At 47.1% G+C, this 26419-nt stretch overlaps 1 protein-coding gene across 4 annotated transcripts in view, besides 2 other annotated features; it reads left to right on the plus strand.

Annotated features, from left to right (window-relative positions):
* RBM20 (RNA binding motif protein 20) overlaps nt 1-25748 on the plus strand; it is a 196224-nt gene extending 170476 nt beyond the window's left edge. For all 4 annotated transcript variants that reach the window (XM_017016103.3, NM_001134363.3, XM_017016104.3 and 1 more), the window contains exons 10-14: nt 6352-6456; nt 7555-8215; nt 9760-9894; nt 17341-17462; nt 22148-25748. In XM_017016103.3, the coding sequence (XP_016871592.1) occupies nt 6352-6456; nt 7555-8215; nt 9760-9894; nt 17341-17462; nt 22148-22258 (1134 nt within the window). In that variant the 3' untranslated portion in view covers nt 22259-25748. The remainder of the gene's footprint in view (nt 1-6351; nt 6457-7554; nt 8216-9759; nt 9895-17340; nt 17463-22147) is intronic.
* Nucleotides 1899-2188: an enhancer, noted in NCBI's record as "active region_4043". NCBI's record gives its function as "activates an Ori minimal core promoter by ATAC-STARR-seq in GM12878 lymphoblastoid cells {active_cell/tissue: GM12878}" and the evidence as "EXISTENCE:reporter gene assay evidence [ECO:0000049][PMID:35858748]".
* Nucleotides 16302-16482: a silencer, noted in NCBI's record as "fragment chr10:112589780-112589960 (GRCh37/hg19 assembly coordinates)". NCBI's record gives its function as "represses an EF-1alpha promoter that drives an FKBP-Casp9 reporter gene in an ReSE screen in HepG2 liver carcinoma cells {active_cell/tissue: HepG2}" and the evidence as "EXISTENCE:reporter gene assay evidence [ECO:0000049][PMID:32094911]".

Consider the following 26419-nt stretch of genomic DNA (forward strand, 5'->3'; position numbering starts at 1 on the left):
GCTACTCAGGAGGCTGAGGCAGGAGAATCACTTTAACCCGGAAGGCGGAGGTTGCAGTGAGCCGAGATCATGTCTTTGCACTCCAGCCTGGATGACAAGAGCGAAACTCTATTTCAAAAAAAAAAAAAAAAAAAAAAATGCATGGCAATGGCTGGCACCTTCATGGCATCTGAAAGGTCTGAGGGCTTGCAGCAGTACTTCAGTTCACACAGGGGCGTCACAAGGAGGGTTGTGGTTACCAGGTTTATATTCTAACTTGGCTTACACTTCCTTCTTGCCAGAGCCTTCTATATTTAAGTAGGGGTAGGATAAGTGAGGTTTGGCAATATGCATAAGGAGCCTAATTTTTAAAATCCTCCACACATACCTTCTAGTCATTCTGACCTGGGAGTTGGTGACAATACTAAGTGCAAATAAGGAAACCAAATCTCTACTCCATGAACACTGAAGAGTCACCTTTTGGATGCTACTTCAGCATTCATTCCAACATGTATAGATGGAGTGCCACTTTGCCAGGTGATGTGCTAGGTGCAGGCGAGCCAAAGGTGAATAGGACATAGTCCATGTTACAGCAGAGACTGAAGTCCAGTGGTGGAAACAGACCTATTAATATAAAAATAATTTGTATACAATGGGACTCATGCCAGCATTTACAGCGGATGAGCTGCTCTGTGGGCAATTATTAACTCTGCACAGGAACGGGAAAATAGCTGCTCAGAGAGGGTGATATTTGAGCTGAGTATTAAAAGTAGAAAAAAGCAGTTTGGGTTTTGTTTTGTTTTTTTTTTTGAGACAGAGTCTCACTCTGTTGCCCACCCAGGCTGGAGTGCAGTGGTGTGATCTCAGCTCACGGCAACCTCTGCCTCCTAGGTTCAAGCAATTCTCCTGCCTCAGCCTCCTTAGTATTTGGGATTACAGGAGTGCGCCACCACGCCCGGCTAATTTTTATATTTTTAGTAGAGACAGGGTTTCACCATGTTGGTCAGGCTGGTCTCGAACTGCTGACCTCGTGATCCTCCTGCCTTGGCCTCCCAAAGTGCTGGGATTACAGGCGTGAGCCGCCGTGCCCTGCCAAGATTCTTGATAGAAGCAGAAGCCAGGGCAAAAGTGAAAAAGAAAGACTGTTTTGAAGAACCTGGAGATAATCGGCATGGCTGCATCTTTAGGGCATATTAGGGATAATGTTTTTAAAGAGTAAAATCATGACTCTGATGCACATATATAATGAATACATGTCAAAGGTTTTATTCAACTCATTAATTAATGACGGCATCATGAGATGCAAAAACCAACTCAAAAGAGAATCCAAAGAGCAGGCAACATATACAGGCAATCAGGAATGCTAAAATGAATTTGCTAATAGGTGTAAAAGTGGCCCCTTCCACAGGGGGCAGGGAATCGGTTGCATCTCCAGCAGAGACAATTCATGTGCATCTCTAGGAACAAGAATCATTTGTATTAGGATCTGATTTCTGCAACTTATACAGTTGTAAAATACCTCAGTTCAAGATAATGAAAGGTGCAGACTTCTATAGAATCAGATGCCCTGAAAGGATGTGCTAGACAAATGCCCAGCGTTCCAGTGAAAGGACACCCAGTAGTCTTTTTTTGCCCATTACAAAGTCTGCCACGATTTTTCCTAACTGGCATAGCAGGAGGAAGAACAGGAGATGAGATTAGGGAAGAGGGTGAGACTCATGGAAGACACTGTGTGCCTCACCAAGGACTTGAACTGGATCCCAAGGACCTGGTGAACCAGTGGATATTTTAAAAAGTGTATGTGCTTGGAGGTGTCCAAGTTGCTGGTGATGGATGATGGGCAGAGAGCAAGAGTTGGCAGGGGCTCAAGGAAAGCCTGGGCTTCATGTGGATACCACCAGCCTGCCAACCCTCTCTCCCCCAAGGCTGAGAGGTGGAGCTGCTTCCTGCACTTCTACTCACACTCCTGAGACTCTGCCCTGGGAACCTCATTTCTTCTACTGTTTTACCACCCTGCTCTCATCGGTTTGTATAACATTGCTCATTTAAGGTGACACTATGTGTCAGCCAAAGAGCCCCTGATGGAAAAAGAATCTCAGAAAGCCCCAAGAATTTCCCCACAGTTCTGTCCCTCAAGTTGGTTCTGCCTCTTACAACCCTGGAGTGGGGTCAGTAGGGACTTACTGGGGCCCCTCACAGATTGTGTCTTTAGGTTTGGAGCCAGGCAGTCCAACAGTGTGTGTTGGAATGACTGCAGAACAGAGAGTATTTTGCACTGTCCTCAAACTCTGTATGATGAACTCAAGAAAAGCCCAGACCCCACAGGGCTGCCCCTGGAGTCAGATAACAGGTGGCAACTGAACTTGGGAATGAAGGCAGCAGGGCTTGCTGTTCTTCCAGTGCACCAGGCACCTCCTGCCCTCAGCGCCTTTACAGGTGTTGCTGCTGCCGAGGAGCCACAAGTCTTCCTGGCTTGCTCCTCACCTCCTTCGTCTTTACTCATGGCCACATTCTCTACTGTCCCTGGCCACTGCACATGATTTCAACACCCCAACCTGCTCTTCTCCCTCCCACCACTGCAAACCATCTCAACACCCCACCCAACCCCCTCACCTCCCCCGACACTACTGCAGACCATCTCAACACCCCAACCCATTCCTCTCCCTCCCCACCACTGCATACCATCTCAACACCCCAACCCACTCTTCTCCCTCCCCGCCACTGCAGACCATCTCAACACCCCAACCTGCTCCCCTCCCTCTCGTCACTGCAGACCATCTCAATACCCCAACCCATTCCTCTCCCTCGCACCGCTGCAGACCACCTCAACACCTCAACCCCCTCCTCTCCCTCCCTGCTTTCCTGTTTTTGGTGGCATTTACCACCTTCAAACCTATCACTTAATGTCTTTATTTTACTTAGTGTCTATTGTCACCCCCAGCTCCAGGTGTAAACTTCACAAGGCAGGAAGTTTTGTCTGTTGTGTTCACTGCTGTGTTCCCAGTCCCTAGAGGAGGGCTTGGCACAGAGCAGGTGTCCAGTGAGTACCTGTTGAAGGTATGAAGGTTGGAACCCAGACTCTGGAAGCAAAGGCCTGGCTTCTGAGAACCAGGTCAGACCCTGCTTTCTTCTGCCTCACTTTTCTTGTTTGTAAAATGGATGTGATCACAAGGCTGTTGTAGTACTGTAAAGAGGTCATGCTCATTAAAATATCCTGAGCTCTCTGGAGAAAGTTTCTGTGGTTGAGAAGCCAGTGTGCGTGCTGCTCCGTGGTGATGGGTGGCCACGTCCATACCTGAGACCCAATCCTGGCCACAGGACCATAAAGAGGAGGAAAGAAATGAAGTCACAGATAAGGAAAACATGGGGAAGAAACACTGCTACATCCTACTGGGAGGGAGGGTTCGAGAGTGGCAGGCCCAGGTGACTAGGGAAGGGAAGCCAGGCTAATGACAAGTGGAGCCAGGCCAGCATGATGGGACCATGGCTGACTGAGAAAGTGGTGCCATCTGTGGGGCCGGAGCTACTGCTCAGCTCCATTCTACAGCTGCCATGCAGGAACGCATGCCACGCTGTCAAATCTCCCTTTTCTTAGAGCAAGACAAGTGTCTAGTATAAACCAAAACATACCTGTGGGCCAGATGCCATCTAGAAGCCCCAGAGTGTAACCCCTGGTATAACCAATCCATAAGAGGTGAAGATTTTTAAAACCCTTATGCTTCAGAGCCTAGACAAGACCCAACCATGCGGGAAGACAGGTGAGAACTTGTTATTCGCCCCACCCCCTTCTACCAATTTCATTCTTTTATTGACCAATATTTGTGGAGCACCCGGCATTGGGACTATAGTTAGTGACACTGAAATGACCCCTGGGCTCGTGGAGCTCATAGTCTAGTGAGAGAAATGCTAATCCAGTGATTTCTTAAATGAACAGAAGAGCTTGAGTATTAAGTGCTAAGAAGGAGATGAAGGTACGCAATGCTGTGAGTGCCTGTGATAAATCTGAGCCTTCTCAGGGTTAGGCTGTGCCTATTGAGATTTGGAGGCACGGTGAGTATTGACTGGGTGAAAAGGAAGTGAAAAGACAGAGGAAGCAGCATGCACAAGGGCCTCCAGCAGCTCCAGGGCTCCAGCGTTGCCGTAGCAGAGAGCTGGCATTAGAGTAACAGGAGGTGAGGCTGACTTGTCAACAGGGCCTACACTATGCAGGGCCTTGTAGGCAGGTTGAAGATTTTTGCCTTTATCTTAACTACCAGGGGAAGCAAATGAAGTATTTAAGCAAGAAAATACAGTGAAGAGGCTGGACACAGTGGCTCACGCCTGTAATTCCAGCACTTTGGGAGGCTGAGGCAGGCAGATCGCTTGAGGTCAGGAGTTCGAGACCAGCCTGGCCAACATGGTGAAACCCTGTCTCTACTAAAAATACAAAAAAAAAAAAAAAATTAGCCAGGTGTGGTGGCAGGCACCTGTAATCCCAGTTACTTGGGAGGCTGAGGCAGCAGAATTGCTTGAACCCAGGAGGCGGAGATTGCGGTGAGCCGAGATCATGCCATTGCACTCCAGCCTGGGCAACAAGAGCAAAACTCCATCTCAAAAAAAAAAAAAAAACCAAAACGACAATATGGTGAGGATGTGATCATTTTTGCATTTTGGAATGATCATTCTTGATTGCCTTGGGAAGAATAGATTTTGGGGGAAGGTACAGAGCAGAAGTGGGAGACCAGTTTCGAAGTGGTTCGGTAGCCCGGGCCCTGTGGTGGCAGAGCCCTGCTTGCAACAGTTGGCGTTTCAGTCTCAGTCTGTGAGCTGCTGTGGGCAGCTGGGGGCACCCGTTGCACCCATCTGTTCCACTTAAGCTGCTGCTCTCTCCTGGAAGTGATCCCACAGCAAAGGGAAGCTCTGAAAGGTTGTTTCCTTTGCCTGCAGGGTGGAAGAGCAGGGGTCTGCTTGGTGGAGGGCTTTCAGCCCGGCTAGCAAGACTGTCCCTGCCTCTCCCAACTCGAACTGAAGGGGGTCCCTTTACTGTGTTGATCTGGGAGTGTGGCTGCAGGAACTGCTTGGGAAGGGTAAGGATTATTCATTTTGACAAGAGAGGGCCATGGATAGGTGATTCAGGGAGATAAAAATAAAGTCACCTGTTGGTAGAAGCTATAATAGCTAAAAAGGTATTTGTAGTTGCTTTATACTCAGGCTAGTGCAGTAGACTTCAGCAAAGCTTTCAGTGGAATCTTCCACAGCAAACACTGGAAACAAAGGACTTTAGGATTTGAACCATGTATCCCTGTCCAGTAATAACTGGTGAAACCAGTCAGCCCTGAGCTTCTGCTCCAGCTGGCTCCTAGTCAGCTCAAGGGGGTGTGTCTGATTGTAAGAAATCAGAACTAGAGTGGTTTACTTAGAACCAACCTCAGCCAAGAATGTCCTAGAACTGCAGCTTGGCCCTCAGAAAGCCCAGGAGTAGTCATTGATTTGGTGGCCAAAGTTTAAGTCATGGGAGAATATCCCCCAGAAACTTCTAATGTGGGGGTTGGCAAAGTTTTCTAGGACTAGATAGTAAATATTTTAGCCTATGTGGGCCAAGGGGCAAAATTGAGGATTTTATGTAGGCACTTCTATAATCACTTAAAATGTAATTATGTAAACGTGTAAAATTCATTCTTAGCTCACAAGCTATACAAAAACAGGCTGTAGGTCAGATTCGGCCTGCAGACTATAGTTTGTTGACCCTTGTCTTAAAGGTTGGGTAGAGGCCCTAATTCTCAAACCAAACACCTGCTTTCAATTGTTCAGTTTCACAGACATGCGCACTACTGTGAGGGTCCTGATTTGGGGGAAGGGAATACAAGGAAGGAGGAAAGGGAGTGTTAGTTTGGGCTATCACTCAAGGACAGAGGGCAACAGAAAGGTGTGAGGGCACTCTGACTGTGCCCTTTCTACCTATAAGTGTCCTGAATGATTTTTTTCATAGCCAAGATGACTCTGTTGGGGAAATGTCACCGTGATGGTTAACCCTGGGGTCTTGGCCGGCCCAAGTCAGTTCAAGTTTTGTTGCTTCTACTCTGCAAAAAATACCCAGTTTGCCAGGTATTTCTGCCCCCTAAAGACATCGGGCCAGGCTTCAAGACATTTCTCTGCCTCCATTTGTCTGTGTGACTGTGAGCAAATTACTTAACCTCTCTGAACCTCAGTTTTCTAATCTATAAAACGAAGATGCTGATAGCAGCTGCCTCCAAGGGATTCTGGGAGGATAAAGGAAATGCTGTATGTGAAACCTATCTGAGAGCTGGGACCTGCATTCAATATCATTCTTTTTTTCTTCTCCCTGTCACTGCTCACTGTTGATTTGGTTTGCTCTGTTCTTCCTTTGATAAGGCTGGAAAAGAGGAACAGGAGGGCATGGAAGAAAGCCCTCAATCAGTGGGCAGACAGGAGAAAGAAGCAGAGTTCTCTGATCCGGAAAACACAAGGACAAAGAAGGTAAAGTTTGTTTCAGATTCTGCACTTCTGCCATGAGGGACTGAGTCACAGGAGTCCCCCTTTTGCCTGGTGATGTCCTGCTGGATGGAATATGGCTGAGACCCCACCATTAGTTCCATGAATGAACCAGTCCTCCTAGCGCTACTTTGGAGGAGTGGCTGTGCCTGGAATCTTCGGACAGTTTTTATTGAAGCGATCTTTACCCACATGTCTGGGCTCTGCTCACTCTCCAGCAATTTGGCTGTGTTCCTACGAGAAAACATGTGCCCAAAAAAAGACTCAGGCTTCAGAGCCAGGCTCCCAAAATAGACAAGTCCCTTGGCGGGGATGGGGCGAGAAGCTGCTTTGGGCACTCAAGCTGGGGCCCTGACTTCAGCAGGCCCAGACCCTAGGATTAACAAGCCATCTACTGTGCTTGTATAGATTGTTTTACTTAATTAAAATGAAAAAATCCAGTTACAGTTCTCCTGGGCTGGAGCTGCCACAACAAAAAGAAATATCCTTGGAACAGGGCCATCTTCGTGCCTTTCCGGTCAGGAGAGGCAGGAGAAATGAGTATCGCTGGCAGGGAAGCTGATCTCCTAAATCTGTCTGTGGAGTTGGGAGTCCATGGGCTGCTGCAGATGCCAAGGGGAAAGTTCTAGAAGGGGCCTAGTAGAAGCTTTGGCTGTGGGAGTGTATGTACCCCTGCTGGGAGAGGGTGCTTGGGGGGAATTTTGTGAGGGGCTTTGCTGCAGTTACATTTAGTGATGACCCAGATGCAAGAAAGATGCTCCAGTAAGTATTTAGAGTTTATAACTTCATTATTCATGCATTCAAAAACTGTATATTGAGCACCCATTATCTACTGGGGCTTGAAATTCTTTGCGTCACTTTAAATATGGTGGATTAAGCATTAAGGGCCTATTCCAAACTTTGAGCATCACCCTAAAGATGAGTTGGTGCCGTGGGACTTGAGTGGTTCACAGTAATTGTACCAGGTAGAGGTAAGAATGCTCAGATTCTTCCTGATTTGAGTGGTCCTTATGGCCAAGTCTTGTGCCTTCCAGTTGAATGCTCTCAACCACCCTCTGACCTCCATTCTGCATTTTTGTACAGGAACAAGATTGGGAGAGTGAAAGTGAGGCAGAGGGGGAGAGCTGGTATCCCACTAACATGGAGGAGCTGGTGACAGTGGACGAGGTTGGGGAAGAAGAAGATTTTATCGTGGAACCAGACATCCCAGAGCTGGAAGAAATTGTGCCCATTGACCAGAAAGACAAAATTTGCCCAGAAACATGTCTGTGTGTGACAACCACCTTAGACTTAGACCTGGCCCAGGATTTCCCCAAGGAAGGAGTCAAGGCCGTAGGGAATGGGGCTGCAGAAATCAGCCTCAAGTCACCCAGAGAACTGCCCTCTGCTTCCACAAGCTGTCCCAGTGACATGGACGTGGAAATGCCTGGCCTAAATCTGGATGCTGAGCGGAAGCCAGCTGAAAGTGAGACAGGCCTCTCCCTGGAGGATTCAGATTGCTACGAGAAGGAGGCAAAGGGAGTGGAGAGCTCAGATGTTCATCCAGCCCCTACAGTCCAGCAAATGTCTTCCCCTAAGCCAGCAGAGGAGAGGGCCCGGCAGCCAAGCCCATTTGTGGATGATTGCAAGACCAGGGGGACCCCCGAAGATGGGGCTTGTGAAGGCAGCCCCCTGGAGGAGAAAGCCAGCCCCCCCATCGAAACTGACCTCCAAAACCAAGCTTGCCAAGAAGTGTTGACCCCGGGTAACTATCTCCCCTTTCCTCACGGGTGGTCGGGTTGATTGGACTCCTGCTCACCTGATAAAGTATGAGCATGTGCAGGCTGGAATGAACATAAGTAAGGTTTCAACTAGCATTAAAGTGGGTGCAGAAAGTGATTTAGCAACAAAGGCAAGCCTCTAAAAGCCTGGCTAAACTGTTAGTGATTTTAGGCAAGTGGTGTAAAGGAAGTTAGATAGGAGGCTGCATGTTTTCTGAGAAGCAAACTCAGGGCAGACTTCTCTGCATTTACAGGAGCCCAGATGGACTTGGATAACTAAAATTAGACTGGGTTATCAGCAAAAGGAGATCAGGAGGAGCCTCGTGCCTGCACAGCAGAGGGCCACCCAGGCTGTTATTTCTGTGATGGGGGCAAGAGTAGGGGATACAAGAAAGGAGTGGAAGGGGAAGGAACAGAGGATCCTTAAAGGGTACAGCTGTTCCCCTTCTTACTACCTCAGACCCATTTTTTGCTAGGGTCTGACAGTGATACAAGACTTGTTTCAGGATATTCTCTCACTCCATTGGAGGTGACGTTTTGTGCCTATGCCCGGCACTGTGACATCATGAAAGAGAGAGTTTAAAATAGGCTAAGCCCCGTCTTCTCTGCCAAGTGGAACTTAAGATCCATCAGGGGGTTTGGGGGGAGGGAGAGAGAGTAGCCTTTAAGATTCTCACTGTGAAAATAATTAGGGATTTGCTTTACAGAAAGCCTGTAGCACACCAGAGGTTGAAGTGAGAGTCAGGGGCAGAAAATACAGAGGAAAGGCTTAAAAATGAACATTTCAACCCAGGGCCCTGTGGGTGGCATGAGCTGTTAGGTAACTGGGAGGCTTGGGATTTTTTCCATGTCAAGCTGACCTGAGCTGTTTTTTACCTGCACGGATCTGAGTTTCCATGGAAACCCCGCCGTGAAATGCCTTCTTGTTGCTAGAGAAACCGTGAGGCCCAGGCTCTGTCTAGAGAAGGCAAGAATAAAGGAGGAGTGAAATCTTCACCTCACTCCAATCAAGCCCCTTTTATTTTGCGGTATAGGTCTCAACATGTGCCAGTGTTAGAGGCTCATTAACTGACCCAGTGTTTGGGGTTCATATTTAATAACAGCTTGACAAGCTTGGGGAGAGAATGGCATTGCCTGTTTTGCTAGCCTCGGTGGACGTCAGCACAATTTTTGCCCGTCAGTAATTCCTCTGCCTGCAGAGATGGAATGATACTGAGATGGGAGGCATGGGGGGTGGGGGGTGGATCTTCTCAACTGAAGGCATCAGCAGCCCATCCCCCTGGGCCAAATGCAAACATTTGCCAAGTTTTATTGTGTGTGGCATTCTTTTGGCAGTGGAAAAAGCTCCTAATGACAGTGCTTTGGTTCTAATTAGCAACCATTGCCCCAGCCTTATGTGATTAAGCAGTCCAAGGAACAATTCCCAATCATACTATGCAGGCATAGAATTTCAGGGACTCTTTGAGGCATGTTGTATTTCTTTTTTTTTTTTTTTTTTTTTTTTTTTGCCTTGGTTCATGTTTTGCAGAAAACTCCAGGTACGTGGAAATGAAATCTCTGGAGGTGAGGTCACCAGAGTACACTGAAGTGGAACTGAAACAGCCCCTTTCTTTGCCCTCTTGGGAACCAGAGGATGTGTTCAGTGAACTTAGCATTCCTCTAGGTAAGCAAAACACACAGTCTTTCCTGAAATTCAGGTCTAGGAAATAACAGTTCCATAGCAACCTCAAGAGCTTGAGAGAGCTTTTTGGCATTTTGTTGTTGACATCGTTTTTTGTTCTTTTGAGACAAGGTCTCACTCTGTCACCCAGGCTGCAGTGCAGTGGCATGATCTCAGCTCACTGCAGCCTCAAATTCCTGGGCTCAAGTGATCCTCCCACCTCAGCCTCCTGAGAAACTTGGACAACAGGTACACACCACCAGGCCCGGCTAATTTTTTTAATTTTTTTTTTTTTTGCAGAGATGGGGTCTCCATATGTGGCCCAGGCTGGTCTTCACCTCCTGGGCTTAAGTGATCCTCCTGCCTCAGCTTCCCAAAGTGCTGGGACTACAGGTGTGAGCCACTTCACCTGGCCGGCCTATCGTTATTTTAAGTGTATGATGCAATAACCTAGATTTGCAAGGGGCGGCTGTAAACTTTCTTGCAATTTCAGTCTCCCGTAATAGACCAGATACTCCGTGAAAACAGCCTTGAATAACAGTGCCCTGGGACCCAGAACTAAGAAGTCCTGTTTTTCCTGTCAGGGAATGCTTTATTCTTGATGACATGGAGTCTTTAAGCCTAGCCTTTATTCAGGCAGGAAAGCAGATGCCCAGCAGCCTCCATAAAGTCAACAAAAATGAACTTCGTCTGCTATTGTTCATTGCTCCAGTCCTTCCCAGAACAATGCTACATATTTTTTTCTCTTTAAAGGACCAACTTTTCTGAGGCAATGATGCTGAATAGAATGTGTTTGGGGCAGACTACCCCTAGTTCATAGAAAGGGTATTGAACAGGGAGACCTGGGTTTCTGTTCTTCCTACTTATGGGTGACTGTGTGCCCTCAGGTAAGTCATACCCCTTCTTGAGCCTTAGTTTCCTCTCTGTAATTTAGACAGCGATTTTTTCAATGGTGGAAGTGTTGGGAATGAAGTGGGGAGGGAGTTTACTGATGGAATCACCTAGGAATGAATCCCTTTTCAAAGAGAAGAGTTAAGCAGAGTCTCAGGGTAGGGAGTGAAGGCACTTTAAGAAAGTTCCCTGGGAGATTCTGACACAACCACTAACCCAGCAACTCCAGCCTACATCATCTTTGAGTCCCCTCGCATTAGCTCTGAAAGGTCGGAATTAGATAAAGTAGTAGTAGCAGCTGCTCAGAAGGAGAGCTCAGGAAAGTGTCACCTGGGAAAGTGTCACAAGGAAGCATAAAAAGCACGGGTCATCTGATGCCTGATGACCACGTGTCTGATCATGCAGGGAGGGGCTGGTCAGTGTGGAGGCTCGTCCTTTCCATCCAACTTGCTCTTTTTTTCCCTTCTCCTTTAAAAAAATCTCTTACTATTTCTTTCCTCCAGGTGTACCATTTTTATAGTCAGATCTGGAGAGCAAACTTCCTTTTTTTTTTAAGGGATAAATTTGCTGCACAGCATCTCCCAAGACAAAAACATAAGAAAGAAGGAAAAAGAAATACTAACTTTAGAATAAACTGAGATGACCCTGGGTATTTTAGCTCTAGAAAACAGTTGCAAAGGCCACCCTGCAGGAGAAGAGAGGGCTCCTTCATGCATTCAGTCAGTCAGCAAATACTTACTGGATAACATGGTACTGTGCTAGACACTCTGGGGTAACCAAGAAATATAACGCAAGTCTCTTGTCATCCAAGAACTTGGAACCTAATTGATACTAGCAAAAATTAAGAATAAATTCTGCTACCTTGTAATTTGTGTTTTACTACTGTTTTTCATTATAGAAAGTGTGAAAGATTATTGTAACAAATTCAAAAAATAAGAACCATATCAAGTCAATATTAAAGGTCTGATTGATCTCTTCCCTCCAGTCTCTCCCCAGTCTCCAGAGGTAGCCTACCACTGTCATGCCCAGTTTTTCTCTCACAAAAATGGGATCACACTACACACATAATGTTCTGCAAGTTCACTTAGTAGCAGGTCTTAGACATTTCTTCATGTCAGTACATAGAGAACACATTCTTTTTAACCACTGCAAATATTCCATCGTAAAAGCTATGCTATAAATGACTGATCTTTCCTCTGCTGGTGAACAGTTAGGCTGTCTGCTCTTTTTCCCATTTTAATAGCTAAGCTTTTATTGTTAACATTCCCCATGCAGGCACCATCCCTAGGGATCTGTATGTATTATCACATTTAACCCTCTCAAAACACCTATGAGGTAGGTGCTGTTTTTATCCTTATTTAACAGATAAAAAATCTGAAATGCAGAGTCACACAGCTAATAACTGGCAAAAACCAGAGTCAGGTTCAAATCCCAGTCATCTGACTCTAGAGCCATGTTCTTAGCTTCTGTTCTCTGCTGCCTTTCAGATGTGCTTGTTCAGTGGTATGTGTATGCCAGTGTTCCTGTGGGAGAGCGTCCTAGCCAGGGGGTTGTAGGGTGGTATGTATTTGCATTTTAAATTTTCATAATTGCTACTAAATTGCACTCCAAAAAGATGGTATCAGTTTTCCCTGCGACCTTGAGTGAGAGTTCCCAATATCCACCTCCCATTGGATTTTATCAGTTTTTAATCTTTCCTAACCAGTTAGGAAGAAAATAGTATCTCACCTTTTTAAAATTGGCTCTATTGAGTTATAATGGATATAAAGTAAGTGCATATCAAGTGCATAGTTTGATCAGTTTTGACCTATAAATATACCTGTGAGACCATCACCACAATCAAGACTGGGAACAATGTTCATCATATCCCAAATTTCCTGTCTCCTATGTAACCCCTCCCTCCCCACAGTGCAACCCCCAGGTAAAGGATCTCCTTTCTGTCACTAAATATTAGTTTGCATTTTCTAGAGTTTTATATAAAGGGAATCATATTGTATGTGCTAGTTTGGCTTCTTTTGCTCAACATCATTGAGATTCATCTGTACTGTTGGGTGGATCAGTAGTCTGTTTCATTCTTCTTCTTTTTTTTTTTTTTTTGAGACAAAGTTTTTCTCTCGTTACCCAGGCGGGAGTACAGTGGCATGATCTTGGCTCACTGCAACCTCCACCTCCTGGGTTCAAGTGATTCTCCTGCCTCAGCCTCCGGAGTAGCTGGGATTACAGGCACCTGCCACCACGCCTGGCTAGTTTTTGGTCTTTTTTTAGTAGAGATAAGGTTCCACCATGTTGGCCTTGAACTGTTGGGGTCTTGAACTCCTGACCTCAGGTGATCCACCTGCCTCAGCCTCCCAAAGTGCTAGGATTACAGGTGTGAGCCACCGTGCCCGGCCAGTCTGTTTCTTTTTATTGTTGAGGAGTATTGCGTTGCATATATGGATACATCACATTCTGTTTATTTATTCATCTGTTGACAAATATTTGGGTTGTTTTCAGTTCGGGGCCTTTACAGATTGTATTTGTTAATAGTCTTCAGTTAGCTTTGAGATTCATTATCTCATTGGTCCCCGAAGGAAGAGTATGGTATGAGGTTCTGCATTTGACAGGTGAGGAAACTGAAGTCCAGAGACTTACCCAGGATGACATAGCAAACGCAGGTTAGAACTCAGGATTTCTCAGCCTGGGCAACATAGGGAGACCCTGTCTCTGCAAAAAAATAAAATAAAATAAAACTAGCCAGGAGTTGTGGTGTAAATCTGCAGTCCCAGCTACTTGGGAGGCTGAGGGAGGAGGATTGCTTGAACCTGGGAGGAGATCCAGGCTGCAGTGAGCCATTATTGTGCCACTGCACTCCAGCCTGGGCAGCAGAGTGAGTGAGACCCTGTCTCAGAAAAAAAGGAAAAGAAACAAAAAAAAAAACTCAGGATTTCCGATCTCAGATCACTCTGTTCTCCAGGTTCTTCCAGTTCAGGCAGCAACACAGTGTAGGAAAGGCTACATTTGTGCAGAAACTATGAACACAGTCTGTGGAATCTGATTCCCTGAGTTTAAATCCCCTGTCTACTACCTACTGGCTGGATGACAAAGAGCAACTTATTTAACCTCTGCTTGGATTTCTTCATCTGTGAATCAGCCATAGTAATAGGAGGCTACTACGCAGAGTTATTTCGAGGATTAAGTGAACAAATACTGGTAAGGTCTTAGTGGCTTCCAGTGGGAGGTACTTAATAAGGGTTGTCTATTATTATTATTCACTCATGAAATATTTAAGACCTATTATGGCTCCTCTCACCGGGGCTGCATAACCCTTTAGCCTGCAGGACTGGTCACTACTGGCATGGAGACTTCTAGGGAGGTGAGAGACAATTTTTTGGCTTTGTCCCATGGAAAGCATAGAGCTGAAATAAGGGATGTCAAGGACTGGGCTCCCAGATGGGAGGAAAGGGAGGCCAGTCGCGTTGCTCGGGGACTGGGGGTGGGCATGGCTGGGGAAGTACACTGCACTCTGCACTTGAGATCCAGGCCAGTTCTGCATGACCCTGGCCAGCGCGAGCCTGCCAAGGCTTGCTCTCAGTAGAAACAAACAGCATCGCCTGCAAAGTGCAAGCTCCCTCCTCTATCCATCCCAGCTTTACTAGGATGACAGAGTTATAATTACCCGTGCCATGAGCTGTTATTAGAAGCCAAATGCAGCTTTAGTGATCCTAGTAGAGGCTGAAAAATGGAGGACTGAGTGGCTCCAGAACACATCAGGGCCGGGGCAATATGTCTTGATGCTGCCTCTTCATGTCCCCGTCACATTCCAGAAGTGTCCTGAGTTGTGCCATGGGATATGTGGTGTCTGCAGCAACCCCCATTTATTCTGGGACAAGTTACCAGCTCTTGGGGTTTCTCCTCCCCCAGGCTTCTCTCCCCCTAGTGCTGCCTGGTAGCTGCCTGGTACTGCCTGAACTTGCAGAGCAGGGGCCAGGGAAGAAAGTTGCCACCAAACTGTGGAGCCGGGTTCCCCAGGTGGCCTTGGGGAGAGGTTGGGGTTCAAGTGAGAAAGCCAACATTTAGGCAGTTATTAACAGCTTCTGTGATGAAATATTTAACACGTGTCTCCAAACCAGTATTTTTGAGCAACAGGCAAAATGATAGGTGATTCCCCTAAACATCACTTACAGCACTATTATTCCTATTTCACAGATGAGGAAACTAATCTCAGAGAGGGTAAACAGTGTGCCTGAGGTCACACAGCATAAGTAAAAGAGTTGGGTTTGCCTCTACATTCTATTTTCTCTCCATGACACTGTGGCTTCCAAGGTTTTTTTTTGTTTGTTTGCTTTTTGTTTTTTGTTTGTTTGTTTGTTTTTTTGACAGTAGAAGTCTTTGTTCAAGTGAAATCGGTTCCAGAACTGACAGAAGATAGCTCTAGCTACACTGCTGGGGGCTTTGGCTACCAGCTCAATCCCTGCTTCAGGGTCTGTGGTAGCTCCTAGGGCATCTGTACCCCTTCTGGGGATCCCAGGACAGGGACTCAGAGGACTCAACAGGGGGCTTAATAAAAACCCCAGGGCTTCTTTCCTGGTACCACCCAGCTGGTTCATCCTCCAGAGGCTGGGACGGGACTGAGAGTGTGGCTCTGATCAAAGCTCTCCTTTTTTCCCAGCTGCCCCTCTCCTATACTGCGGGGGTCTCGGCTCCCTGCAGAGCAGCAGCAGAGGGAAAACTATTTTGTAACAACGCAGGAAGGAGGCAGACCTTGCTGAATGCGCCTCTGCCAGCACCAACAGCCAGGAGCCAGGACCTGTTTGTGAGGTGGAGGGGAGAACTGGCCCCCACAGCCCAAGCTGGGGCCACTTTTCCATCCTTTGCAGAGAGGAAGGGAAGGACACTCAACCTCCCTCCGGGCACCTGGGCCTGAGTGAGGCCCTCTCACTTCTGGGGACCACTGCTGAGGGCATGGCGTGTAGCCTGCAATGTGGCAGTTAGAGAAAGCCAGACTGAGGAGGACGCCTCAGGCCCCGGACCACAGCCCCACTGTCAGTCCAGGCAGGCCTCCTGGGCTCCCTCCTTCCCTCCCATCTCCCTCCCTCAGAGCTGCCCTTCACACTGATAAGTGGCTATTTTGAAATGAAAAAAAAGTTCTAATGACAAGTCTAGGCTGCTTCCTTCTGACAGGGTCTCCTAGGCACTTAGCTCAGTGTCCTGGGAGGTGGGAGGAGGAAAGTGAAGCCACCCAACCAGCTGGGCTTGCAGTCGGTCACGCTGTGCCTTGGAGCAGGCGCTGTCATGAGTGGAGACCTTGCCTGTCCCCATCCCTGCAAGAAATTGCTGTTCCCCTGCCTGTGCCATTCCCAGGCCCCTTCCTTCCTTCTACCCAGGATGGCCAGACCTGAAACCATTGCCCAGCCCCAGCAGAAGAGAGGCTTGCCCCGCAGCCTGCAAGTGGGATTGGGTGTTCCAAGCATCACCCCTCTTTCTTAGTTCCCTGATGGGTCCTGCTTCTCACAGCCCTCACACCCTGCCCTTTGGCTGGCGCTGCACAGTCAGGTGCCTGGTAAACAGGGCATGTGTTCCTACCTCCATTCTCAGGTGAGGAAACTGAGCCCCAGGAGCAGTTCGGCTGACTCTCCCCGGGTCACATGGGTTCTTAGCATCTGGCCTGGACCCTCTCAGAGCTGGGCTCTTTCCACTCCACTGACTGACCGTGTCTTCAAAAGGAGAACTGTGACCTGCAAAACACCTTCGTGGAGGCTGGAGCAGCCACCATCCCTTCAAGGATGACTCCCCTGGCTGTGACATTGTCACTCCTCTCTGGCGGTGGTGCCAGTTGTTTCCTTTGCTTGGAATCAAAAGGCCTCCCAGAATTCTGGGACTTATATTTAATAAATCACAAATGAAATGCTAATTGATGGTTCGGATGTAAAGACTAGAGGAAGTGGGAAAATGTTAATGATATACAATTTCACGAAAAAAAGAGGACAGAGAATTGTAATTAGGGTATGACTAAAATGGCCCCCCCAAAAGAGGCCTACATATAGGTTAATTATGTGGAAGAAAATATTTGGATTGGAGTGACTCTGGGTGATTTTTTCCTTCCTTTTATTTACTTTTTTTTCTGTAAAGAACATAATTCTAAAATAAACAAACAAAAACGAGAGAATTCTTCGAGAGTCCCGGTCACAGCAGCTGCAGAGAGAGGTACAGTGTGAAGAAATGAAATCCAACAAGTGAAATATCAGAAATGTCAGAAATCACCTTCATTGTTCTTGGAAGGAGGCTGATAGTAGGAGAACAGGCCAGCGGCAGGCCATGGAATGGCTAAGTGCTTACCACACCGCCGAGTCCATCCCTTACATTCACAACAACCTGTGAATGAAGTGGGTGTGAGTCTCTTTGTGACTGTTCTGCAAGTGAGGAAACTGAGGCTTGGAGAAGCTCAGTAACCAGCCAAGGTCAACAGCAAGTGAGGGGTGGAGCTCGTGGCTCCCATTTCTACCTGATGGCTGCCAGGACACAGGGGCCTGCCTCCCATGCCATCCTAACCCTGCGTGTCTATCCCCCATCCTTTCCCAGGGGTGGAGTTCGTGGTTCCCAGGACTGGCTTTTATTGCAAGCTGTGTGGGCTGTTCTACACGAGCGAGGAGACAGCAAAGATGAGCCACTGCCGCAGCGCTGTCCACTACAGGAACTTACAGGTAAAAATCCACTCTCCTTGCCCAGCATGCCAGGGGCTCCCCAGTCTCCATAACCGAGCCAGGTGTCTGGCGTCCTTGGCCTTGCTTGCCTCTGAGTCTAGCTCCTACCTGCAAGGCCTACTCCAGGCCACAGGTTACTTGCCATTCCCCAAGCACACCAGGCTGTTTTCTGCTTCTGTGTCTGTCTCCTTCCACTACATGGAAAACCCCTAATCTTCCCATAGACTTGATTCCATCAGGCTGCTCTCGACATGGTGGCTACCTCCTGTGTTGCTCCTAGCACATGTCTCTACTTTAATACCTAAAACATCCTGTTTGGGTTGGCTTTGGCAATATCCACCTCTCCCTCTATACTGTGAGTAACTCAAGTTAGGCCAGTGTTCCTCTGGCCTGTGATTGGGACTGACCCCTTCCCACAAGACTCGGATGTTCTAGTTTTTCTCTGTTTCTGTTCCCCTATGCAGGTATCCCTGCTTGCTAGAATAAAAAAAAAAAAAAAAAAAAAAAAACACTGCTTTGTTCTTTTTAACTGTTCATCCATACAGCAAATACTTATCACAGGCATGCTAGGTACCAGACACTATTCTAGGGACCAGGGATACTGGAACAACAACAGTAAAGTGGACAAAAATCCCTGTTCTCATGGATTTTTCATTCTAATGTAGGTGACAAGCAATAAATGAAATAAATGGTATAGTATGTTAAAGGGCGACATATAAAAAATACTCTATACACCGTATTTCACCCAGTCTAAGGTGCCATCATTTGTAAGGCACCACTATTTTTTGGTACCAACTAGAAAAAAAATGTTGCAAATCAAGTGATGAGACTCCATCAACTGTAAAATGAATTTTTATTTCAGAGATATTAATGTGTGAAAAAATGTGTCTTGAGATCAATGAAATATGGTAATATGTTCTATAATATATACCTAATTAATATGTAATATATTAGAATGTGGTTTTCATGATTAACTTCTGGCATGGGCTAGGTTTTGATAGCTTAACAGAAGACATGGTATATCAGAGGGCCAGGGGTAAGTATCTGAAGACACCTCCTGTTTTTACTACAAGGAATCAGACTAGTTATTTGAACCATAAGGCTTTGACTCAAGAAGTCCTCACAGTGGCTGTGCCCAAGTCCCAGGCTAGGCATTACTATTATCATTAAATTGTTTAAAAGTGACTGATCTAGCCGTTCTTAACCAGGGACATGAATCAGACTCATCTGGACAGTATTTCTAAAATTCAGGTACTAAGTTATATATTTAGTAGAATTTGGAGGTGGAAGGCAGATTGCAGGAATATGTAATTTGAGAAAGTTCTCCAAAAGATTCAAATGTGCACCCCTAGTTAAAAAAAAAACAAACTCAGATATGGGCCAATTTTCTTGTTTAATAATTAAGAAAATTGAGACCCAGAGAAGCTATATAATTCATCCAAGTCCACACAGATGGTGAGTTATTGGGCCTAGGATCAAATCGCCTGATTCTGAATCACTTTCCTCTTTTTACTCTACTATACTTGTCTTGGAAACTGAGACCCATAATGTCATGGCCTGGGTCACCATGTGCAGAGAAGTATCATAGGCTATGCCCAAACTCAAGTCACTTAAGCCTCTGATTTCCCTCCGGAGAGCAGCTTCTCTGTGACTGAGGCAGCCACAGCACCTGTGGCCCAGGGCTAGGCCTCTCCTCGGGCAAGGCAAGAAAGGCCTGACTTGGCCAGAGCAGGAGGGTCAGACTGGGTCCCACAAAGCCAGCTGAGGGAAGTCATCTAGCTTGAAGACATAATCAATCCCTTTTCCCAACAAGATGAAACCTACAGAATGGTAAGGATGGAAGGGGTCTTGGAAATCATCTGGTCCTGGTTTTCCCAAACCTTCTTCTTTGTACCAGCTGGCATCTTTTTGAAATGCAGCTTCCTGGGCCCGGCACAGTGGCTCACACCTGTAATCCCAGCACTTTGGGAGACCGAGGCGGGTGGATCACGAGGTCAGGAATTCGAGACCAGCCTGACCAACAGTGTGAAATCCCGTCTCTACTAAAAATACAAAAACTAGCCAGGCGTGGTGGCGCGCACCTATAATCCAAGCTACTCAGGAGGCTGAGGTAGGAGAATCGCTTGAACCTGGGAGGTGGAGCTTGCAGTGAGCCGAGATCACATCATTGCTCTCCAGCCTGGGTGACGGAGCGAAACTCTGTCTCAGAAAAAAAAAAAAAAAAGAAATGCAGCTTCCTGGCTCTCACCCTACTCTTGTTTTCTCATTTTCTGTAGGGCTGGGCCTGAGAGTCTGTATTGTAAACCATCCTTATATCAGGCTCTGATAGTCGATGTGAGAACCTTTTCTCTCATCCAGCATTTGCAGTAGTATTGTGCAGCCCTTCAGGGGGCCACATAGTTCAAGGTCACCTCGGAAGTTAGGAAGAGTTCAGACTTGCCAGGGCCTCTAATTCTAATTCATGTATGTTTCCCAGGGCAGTGGACTGCACTGTGTTCTGAGCCTCTGGGCCACGCCCCCAGGCAGACTCCCCTCCCCGCAGCAGGCCAGAGCCATTCTTGTAGTTCTCAAGTGCATTGGGGTAGACATTGGTTAAGCCCCTCGTGCCAGCCAACTGCAGTGTAGCTTTACCTGGTGCACCTGCTGGGGAGCTGGGAGTTTCCACCACAGGCTTCCCAGATAGGATTTCTGTCAGCGGCTTTGACAGAATGCCTCTGTCCACACAGCCTCCCCCACCCCAAGCAGCAGGTAATGGCTGACACTTAAATCAGGCAACTTTTAAACTTAACACCACTGAGAGGCCTTGAGTTGGGGACCAGAGGTTGCTCCTAAAGGCAGGGAGCAGGTTGAAGGAGCCTCCGCTCTCTCTGAGCAGCCTGTGCTGTGCCCCACGGCTGGTCACGGCTCTGCAAGAACCCACCCAGAGTGATTCAGAACAACAGGTGGAGTCAGCGCTCGATAGGAAAACTAGATACCTGCTTGGCTCCAGGCCCTGGAGCGGAATGTGTCCACGTACTGGGCGCTCATTCGCTTGCCTTCCTCAGCACACGGTTTACCCTCCCTGAGCCAAGGCAGAGGAGAACCCAGGCCCTCCATCAGCAGCTTTGCCTGCTGCCATCCACCGTTTGCTCTTCTCCTAGTCAGGCTGCACCCGTTTCTGGAAGCCAACTGCAGTCTCTTCTATGGAGACAGCAGGCAGACCTGGTCATCTCACACACACCCTCTCATCTGACCCACACACCACCCCAGAAGGGAGGGTGAGGACAACAGTGTTCCTCCCATTTAACAGATTAGGCCTCTGAGGCTGGGAGAAGAGGAGTGGCTTTCTCCAACTCATATGGCTGGTGCTGCTAATAAGAAAAGCCAACATTACTGAGTGTTTATTCTGTGTCAAACGCTGTACTGAATGCTTTTTGTTGCCTCTCTTCGACTTCACAGCAACCTTATGTTGTTGTTACTGTTATTCCCCTCCCTTCACAGATGTCAGAGATATTTGATAACTCGCCTGCTGAGGGATAGGATTGAACCCAGGTCATATGACTTCAAAGTGCACACACTTAACCACCGTACTGGTCTGCACCCTTCTGTCTCCTAATCCAGTGCTCTTTGCCTTTTCCTTGCTGCCCTGTCAGAGAACCCCAGCTGGGGCCTCAAACCTGTCCCAGTCTGCCTCACTGTGTTGACTCCAGATAGCCCAAGAGCAACCCAACCTGCCTCATGGTGTTGGGCCGAGGCCAGTCATAGCAGTGAGTGTTCTGGGGTCATGCAGAGGCAGCCCTCAACGATAGAATAGACAGGCCCATTTTTAAATCCATCAAAAGACCTCCAAGGCTCCCCACCCACTAGCCTGCCCTGACAGGAAACAGGTTGTTAAGAGTCTCAAATGTCAGGCCGTGGTGCTGTTTTGCACAATTGCCATAGGCCAGCGCTCATTTACCCTGCCTTCCAGCTTCCCTCCCTCTGCCTTTTAAGCATAGATATGTTGCCTAGAGCTTGGGCTGTTTCTGGAAAACAGAGTTGTTTTGGGAGTTAAATGAGCTTATTTAAGTCAAGCAGTTAGAACAGCACTTGACACTAGATAAGGGCTTTGGAAGTGTTTGCTATTATAGCTGTACTTTCTACTCTTTCTTTTCTTTTCTTTTTTTCTTTTTTTTTTCTTTTTTTTTTTTTTAGATGGAGTTTCACTCTTGTTGCCCAGGCTGGATTGCAACGGTGCGATCTCGGTTCACAGCAACCTCCGCCTCCCGGGTTCAAGTGATTCTCCTGCCTCAGCCTCCCGAGTAGCTGGGATTACAGGCATGTGCCACCACACCCAGCTAATTTTTTGTATTTTAATTAGAGACGGGGTTTCTCCATGTTGGTCAGGCTGGTCTCAACTCCCGACCTCAGGTGATCCACCCACCTCGGCCTCCCAAGTGCTGGGATTACAGGTGTGAGACACCACGCTCGGCCTGTACTTTCTACATTTTCTACAGGAGACATGTATTACTTGCAAGCTAACATAATGAGGTACTTAGCATAAGTTCTGTAGCCCCAGTGGGGATCTCTGAACCAGGAAAAGGGTAACCCCCACAGCTGGGCACAGATGCCAGGAGAGGGATGATTGAGGCATGTCCGCTCCTCTCCTCTCCATCTAGGTCCCTACTAACATGCCCCTTCCTCCACTTCCCCTCTTCTTTCCACAGAAATATTTGTCCCAGCTGGCCGAGGAGGGCCTCAAGGAGACCGAGGGGGCAGATAGCCCGAGGCCAGAGGACAGCGGAATCGTGCCACGCTTCGAAAGGAAAAAGCTCTGATGCTTCTGCTTCTGCTGCTACTGCTGCTGCTGCAAGGTTGGAAAGGAGAGCTTGCTGAAGTGGGGCCTTCCTGATTCTGGGGACAGGACTAAAGCCTGAGAGGAAGGAAAACCAAGCAGGGCACATTGCTTGGGCTTGTTCCCAGAGACTCAGTGAAATGCCCCTGATATGTCTCCAGGAGCAAGTCACCCAGGTGTGTCCAGCCCACTGAGGGTCACCAACTCTCTCCCTGCTGACTCTTGTTTCTCTCAATCTTTCAATTCGTTTTTCTCTCTTTTCCTCTTGTTCTTTCTCTCCCTCCCTCCTTATGTGCCAAGGATCGTTTCCTTTTCACAAAACCCAACTTCTCAGGGATTTTCACAGTGTTTAAATTCTTGGTAGGATATAACAGGTCAGGCCTAGCTGAGTCAGGCAAGGAAAAGGTTTAATGGAAACTCCTGGGTCAGGCGAACCCCTGCAGTGAGTCTACAGCAGTATCTCTGCCTGGTGTCCCATGTATCCCCTGCATGAGGAGCTGAGTCAGGTCTGCAGTCCTGGTGAGGGGACATCACGGACAATCTGTTGGCAGAGCTGGGAGGGTCTTCATTAACCTCTTCCTCCAACTGGGCCACCCTTTTGAAAAGCCCCTGTTTTTAATAACTGTTTCATCCTCTCAGTTATTCTAGAAATCTGCCAGACTTATGCCTTAAAGTAAAATTAAATGAATTTTAGAGAAGATGAAAAGAGCCCTTCATTTTGGAAGCTCTGATAAGTTTCCTCCAAACTTATTCCCCTCCTCTTGATTTCAGGAGATGTCAGGGTTTTTCTATTCTGGACAATGAATTTGGTACAGAGTCACTGTAATTAAATATAAAAACAGAAGCATCTTCCTCCAGCTAAAGCAGCAGTTGGCGCGGGCTTAGGTTGAATGCTGGCCTCTCTGCAAAGCACAGCTTTGGCTCGAGAGGCACAGCTCCAGGCTGTGGAAAACAGAGTTGTCTTGGGGGTTAAATGAGCTTATTTAAGTCAAGGAAACATCATCTGTCCTTGATTCAGCCTTGGTGCCTGCACTCTGGGGTACAACCACCTCACAGTAGGATGGTTTTTAAATGGCCCCCCAGTTGGGGGAGAAGCTAAGGAAAGAGAAGGCTGCAGATCCAAAGAGTGGCATTGAAGTTTGCTGGGTGTCTGTAGGTGGACCCTTTCCAGCTGGGCAGATAGTTGAGGGCTCCCTGGGTTTGACTGTATGTGCAGACTTTGATACCAAAATGTTATGAAAAGTCGTGATTCCCGCTGCTCTTTCTGGTACTGGAGGGTGGGTACCTTCAGGCTGTGGGGTCTCTAGCCTGATATTCCATTGAAAGGGTGTGGGATAAAGGTGCTGGGGGAAATGAGGCTCTGCCACAGCCATAGAGAGGCCCTCGGGCAGTTAAGAAGGGAGCCTGGAGCTGTTTTCATGAGCAGAGATACTCTCCTGAAAGCACCCTTCATAGCTTAGCCCAGGAAAAATAAAACAAGGAAGACAGGTCACTCTCCCCTAGGCAGTTCCTGTTGTTTCTGTTCCTGACCTTGGGCAGGCAGACTGAGAAGGGACTGTGTAGGGTTTTGTTTTGTTTTTTTTCATTTTCCTTTTTATGGCATGTGAGAGCATACTGTACATTCTGTCCTCTGTACTAATGGAGGAAGGGCAGAGAGATTAGTTCAAGGCTAACATTTTATATCAGGTAACTGAGGCACACAAAGGGAACAAATGAAGAACATAAAATGATCAGTGTAAACCTGAAAGCACGCAGTCATTGGCAAGGGACAGGCTCATGGGAGCTGGTGAGAGAGAGCAGTTAAGGCAAGCACCAGGGGAAAGCAGACCAACTTGAACAGATGTGATGCGGAGAGGTTGGAAGAAGCAAGAAACCTGAACTCATCATCAGGCTATTAAATAAAATTTATAGGAGGCTGTTGGTTTGGACTGAGCTCCTGCAATAGGCCCAACAGACCAAAACAAAAGGGAGTCACTCATGTTGAAGTTCTGTCTTCCAGGAAATCAGGAGAGAGAGAGAGAGAAAGAATAGCCAAATCCCCAAACAGGCCAGTTTTAACCAGCATGATGAAGTGTCCTTGGTTTTAACCTTTATAAGGAAAGCAGCTTTGAGATGACCAGTCTGGTTTTTGTTCTTTGTGTCTGCTTTCCTCAGCCCTTTTCTGTCTATAAAGCCAACCTCCTCCGCTCAGCTCATGGGAACACTCATTCTATTTTATAGAATGACATGTTGCCCAATTCTAGAATCAAAAATAAAGGCCAACTAAGATCTTCAAAGTAAATTTGTTGTAATTTTATCTTTTGAGAAGACCATATGGGGGCTGCTGAAAAGTTGGTATCTCAAATAAAGTCTGAAGATCACGGCTCAGCCCAGATTGTTCCCCTGGCCAACTCCACAGGTTTGAACCTGGCATTCTGGACACCAGCTATGCCTCCTCCATTTCTCAGAAAACCTTTGATCTTGTGTGTCTTTCTTCCTACTGAAGGGAATTGTGGGGGCAGTTCTTTGGCCTTCTTGCTGAACTTTGCTGGAAATAGCCCACAATTTTTATCAGAGGTTAGAACTGTACATTATCAGAGAGACTGGACACTTTATCCCCTAGCAAAGTGGGAGAAGATTTTACCAGCTCATTCCACTCCACCCTGGCCTTCCCCCACCCCCCATCCCCAGCAGCATTTCCATGGAAATCCAGATGGTCGTGTAGTGTTATGGCTCTCTTGTGATAGACTGGCCTTCATATTGGAGAGCTAGGGAGAGCCCCTGGGAGGGAGAGAGATAAGGCGCTATCTGCCTTCAATCAGAACCTTCGGTTTAAAATCATCTAAGAGTCTATACTTGTGTGTACATACGTATTTATTTTTATTTATTTTTATACAATTCCATTGGCATGGTCCTTCACCGACCCTATGATTTGCACTTTTTATTTCTATGTGTGCCACACACAATGCAGTATTAATGGCAACCAGGTAAATATTGATTTATTTTTTAAAGCTTTTCTTCAGTGTTTTGTCAACCATTTCAAAGTGTCTCCCAAAAAAGGATGCTGAAGAGCAATTGCTCCCTTAAGCAACAGATTCATATTTACCCTGGGTTAATACAACAAAAGGCCTGTATAATTGTCTTTTCATTGTTAACACCCAAAATAGCATCTATCTAGACAGTATCCCCAAAGAATTTGGAAAATCTGATGGTGTGAGCAGCAGCCGTTAGTATCAGGGTTTCCCATTCTTGGACAGTCCGAGGCTGTGACCTGTTAGATAATTAGATTATACTTGAACTGGACCAGAGTTTGTTTTTTGAATTTATGAGAAAAACCAAAACACTAAGTTAAGTTTGAACTTGTAAAGTATTGAAATTTGTTGAGTGTCCTATAAATTGTCACTACTTTTCCTGATCTGTATAACTGACTGCAAAGTGTTTGTTTTTACAAAAGAGAAAAGAAAAGATTTTTAATAAAGAGAATTTGAAAGCTGTGAGTGAGTGACTCTGTGTCATGCAGGGGTCCCTGACATTTGGCTGGGGAAGGCTCATCAAGCAGAAAGGTTGAGATTTGGTCCCTTTGAATTGTGAATTATTTTCAAGGGTTGAACAGAGAGGACAAAACAGGTTTTCTTAGGGCTCCAGTTAGGCTACCAGAGAGAATCAGAGATTCTCAGGGGTGATCCTCGGGGGATGAGTCTGACTAAGTGGGGGCTGCTGTCCTTTTGGAGGCTCAGATACGAACATTTCTTGGCCTCTTATAAACTCCTAGCTTTGCCACCCAGCGTCCTGCACCAGGGTTAGGCCATTTCTGTAAGTTCCATTCCCTGTGAAGATGAATATCTGGTGGTCAGTGCTGTAGTGGAAATAGCAGGCACAGGCAGAGGTCTGGCCCTGCCCCTGTTAGCCCATGACTTCCTAAGGCCCGCTTCCTTGGGTGTAAAAGAAGATAAGAGTATTACTTGCTCCGGGTGTGGTGGCTCATGCCTGTAATCCCAGCACTTTGGGAGGCCAAGGTGGGTGGATCACAAGGTCAGGAGATCGAGACCATCCTGGCCAACACGGTGAAACCCTGTCTCTATTAAAAATACAAAAATTAGCTGGGCGTGGTGGTGCGCACCTGTAGTCCCAGCTACTCAGGAGGCTGAGGCAGGAGAATCGCTTG

Source organism: Homo sapiens, chromosome 10, assembly GCF_000001405.40.
Source record: "Homo sapiens chromosome 10, GRCh38.p14 Primary Assembly".
Classification (NCBI taxonomy): Eukaryota; Metazoa; Chordata; class Mammalia; order Primates; family Hominidae; genus Homo; species Homo sapiens.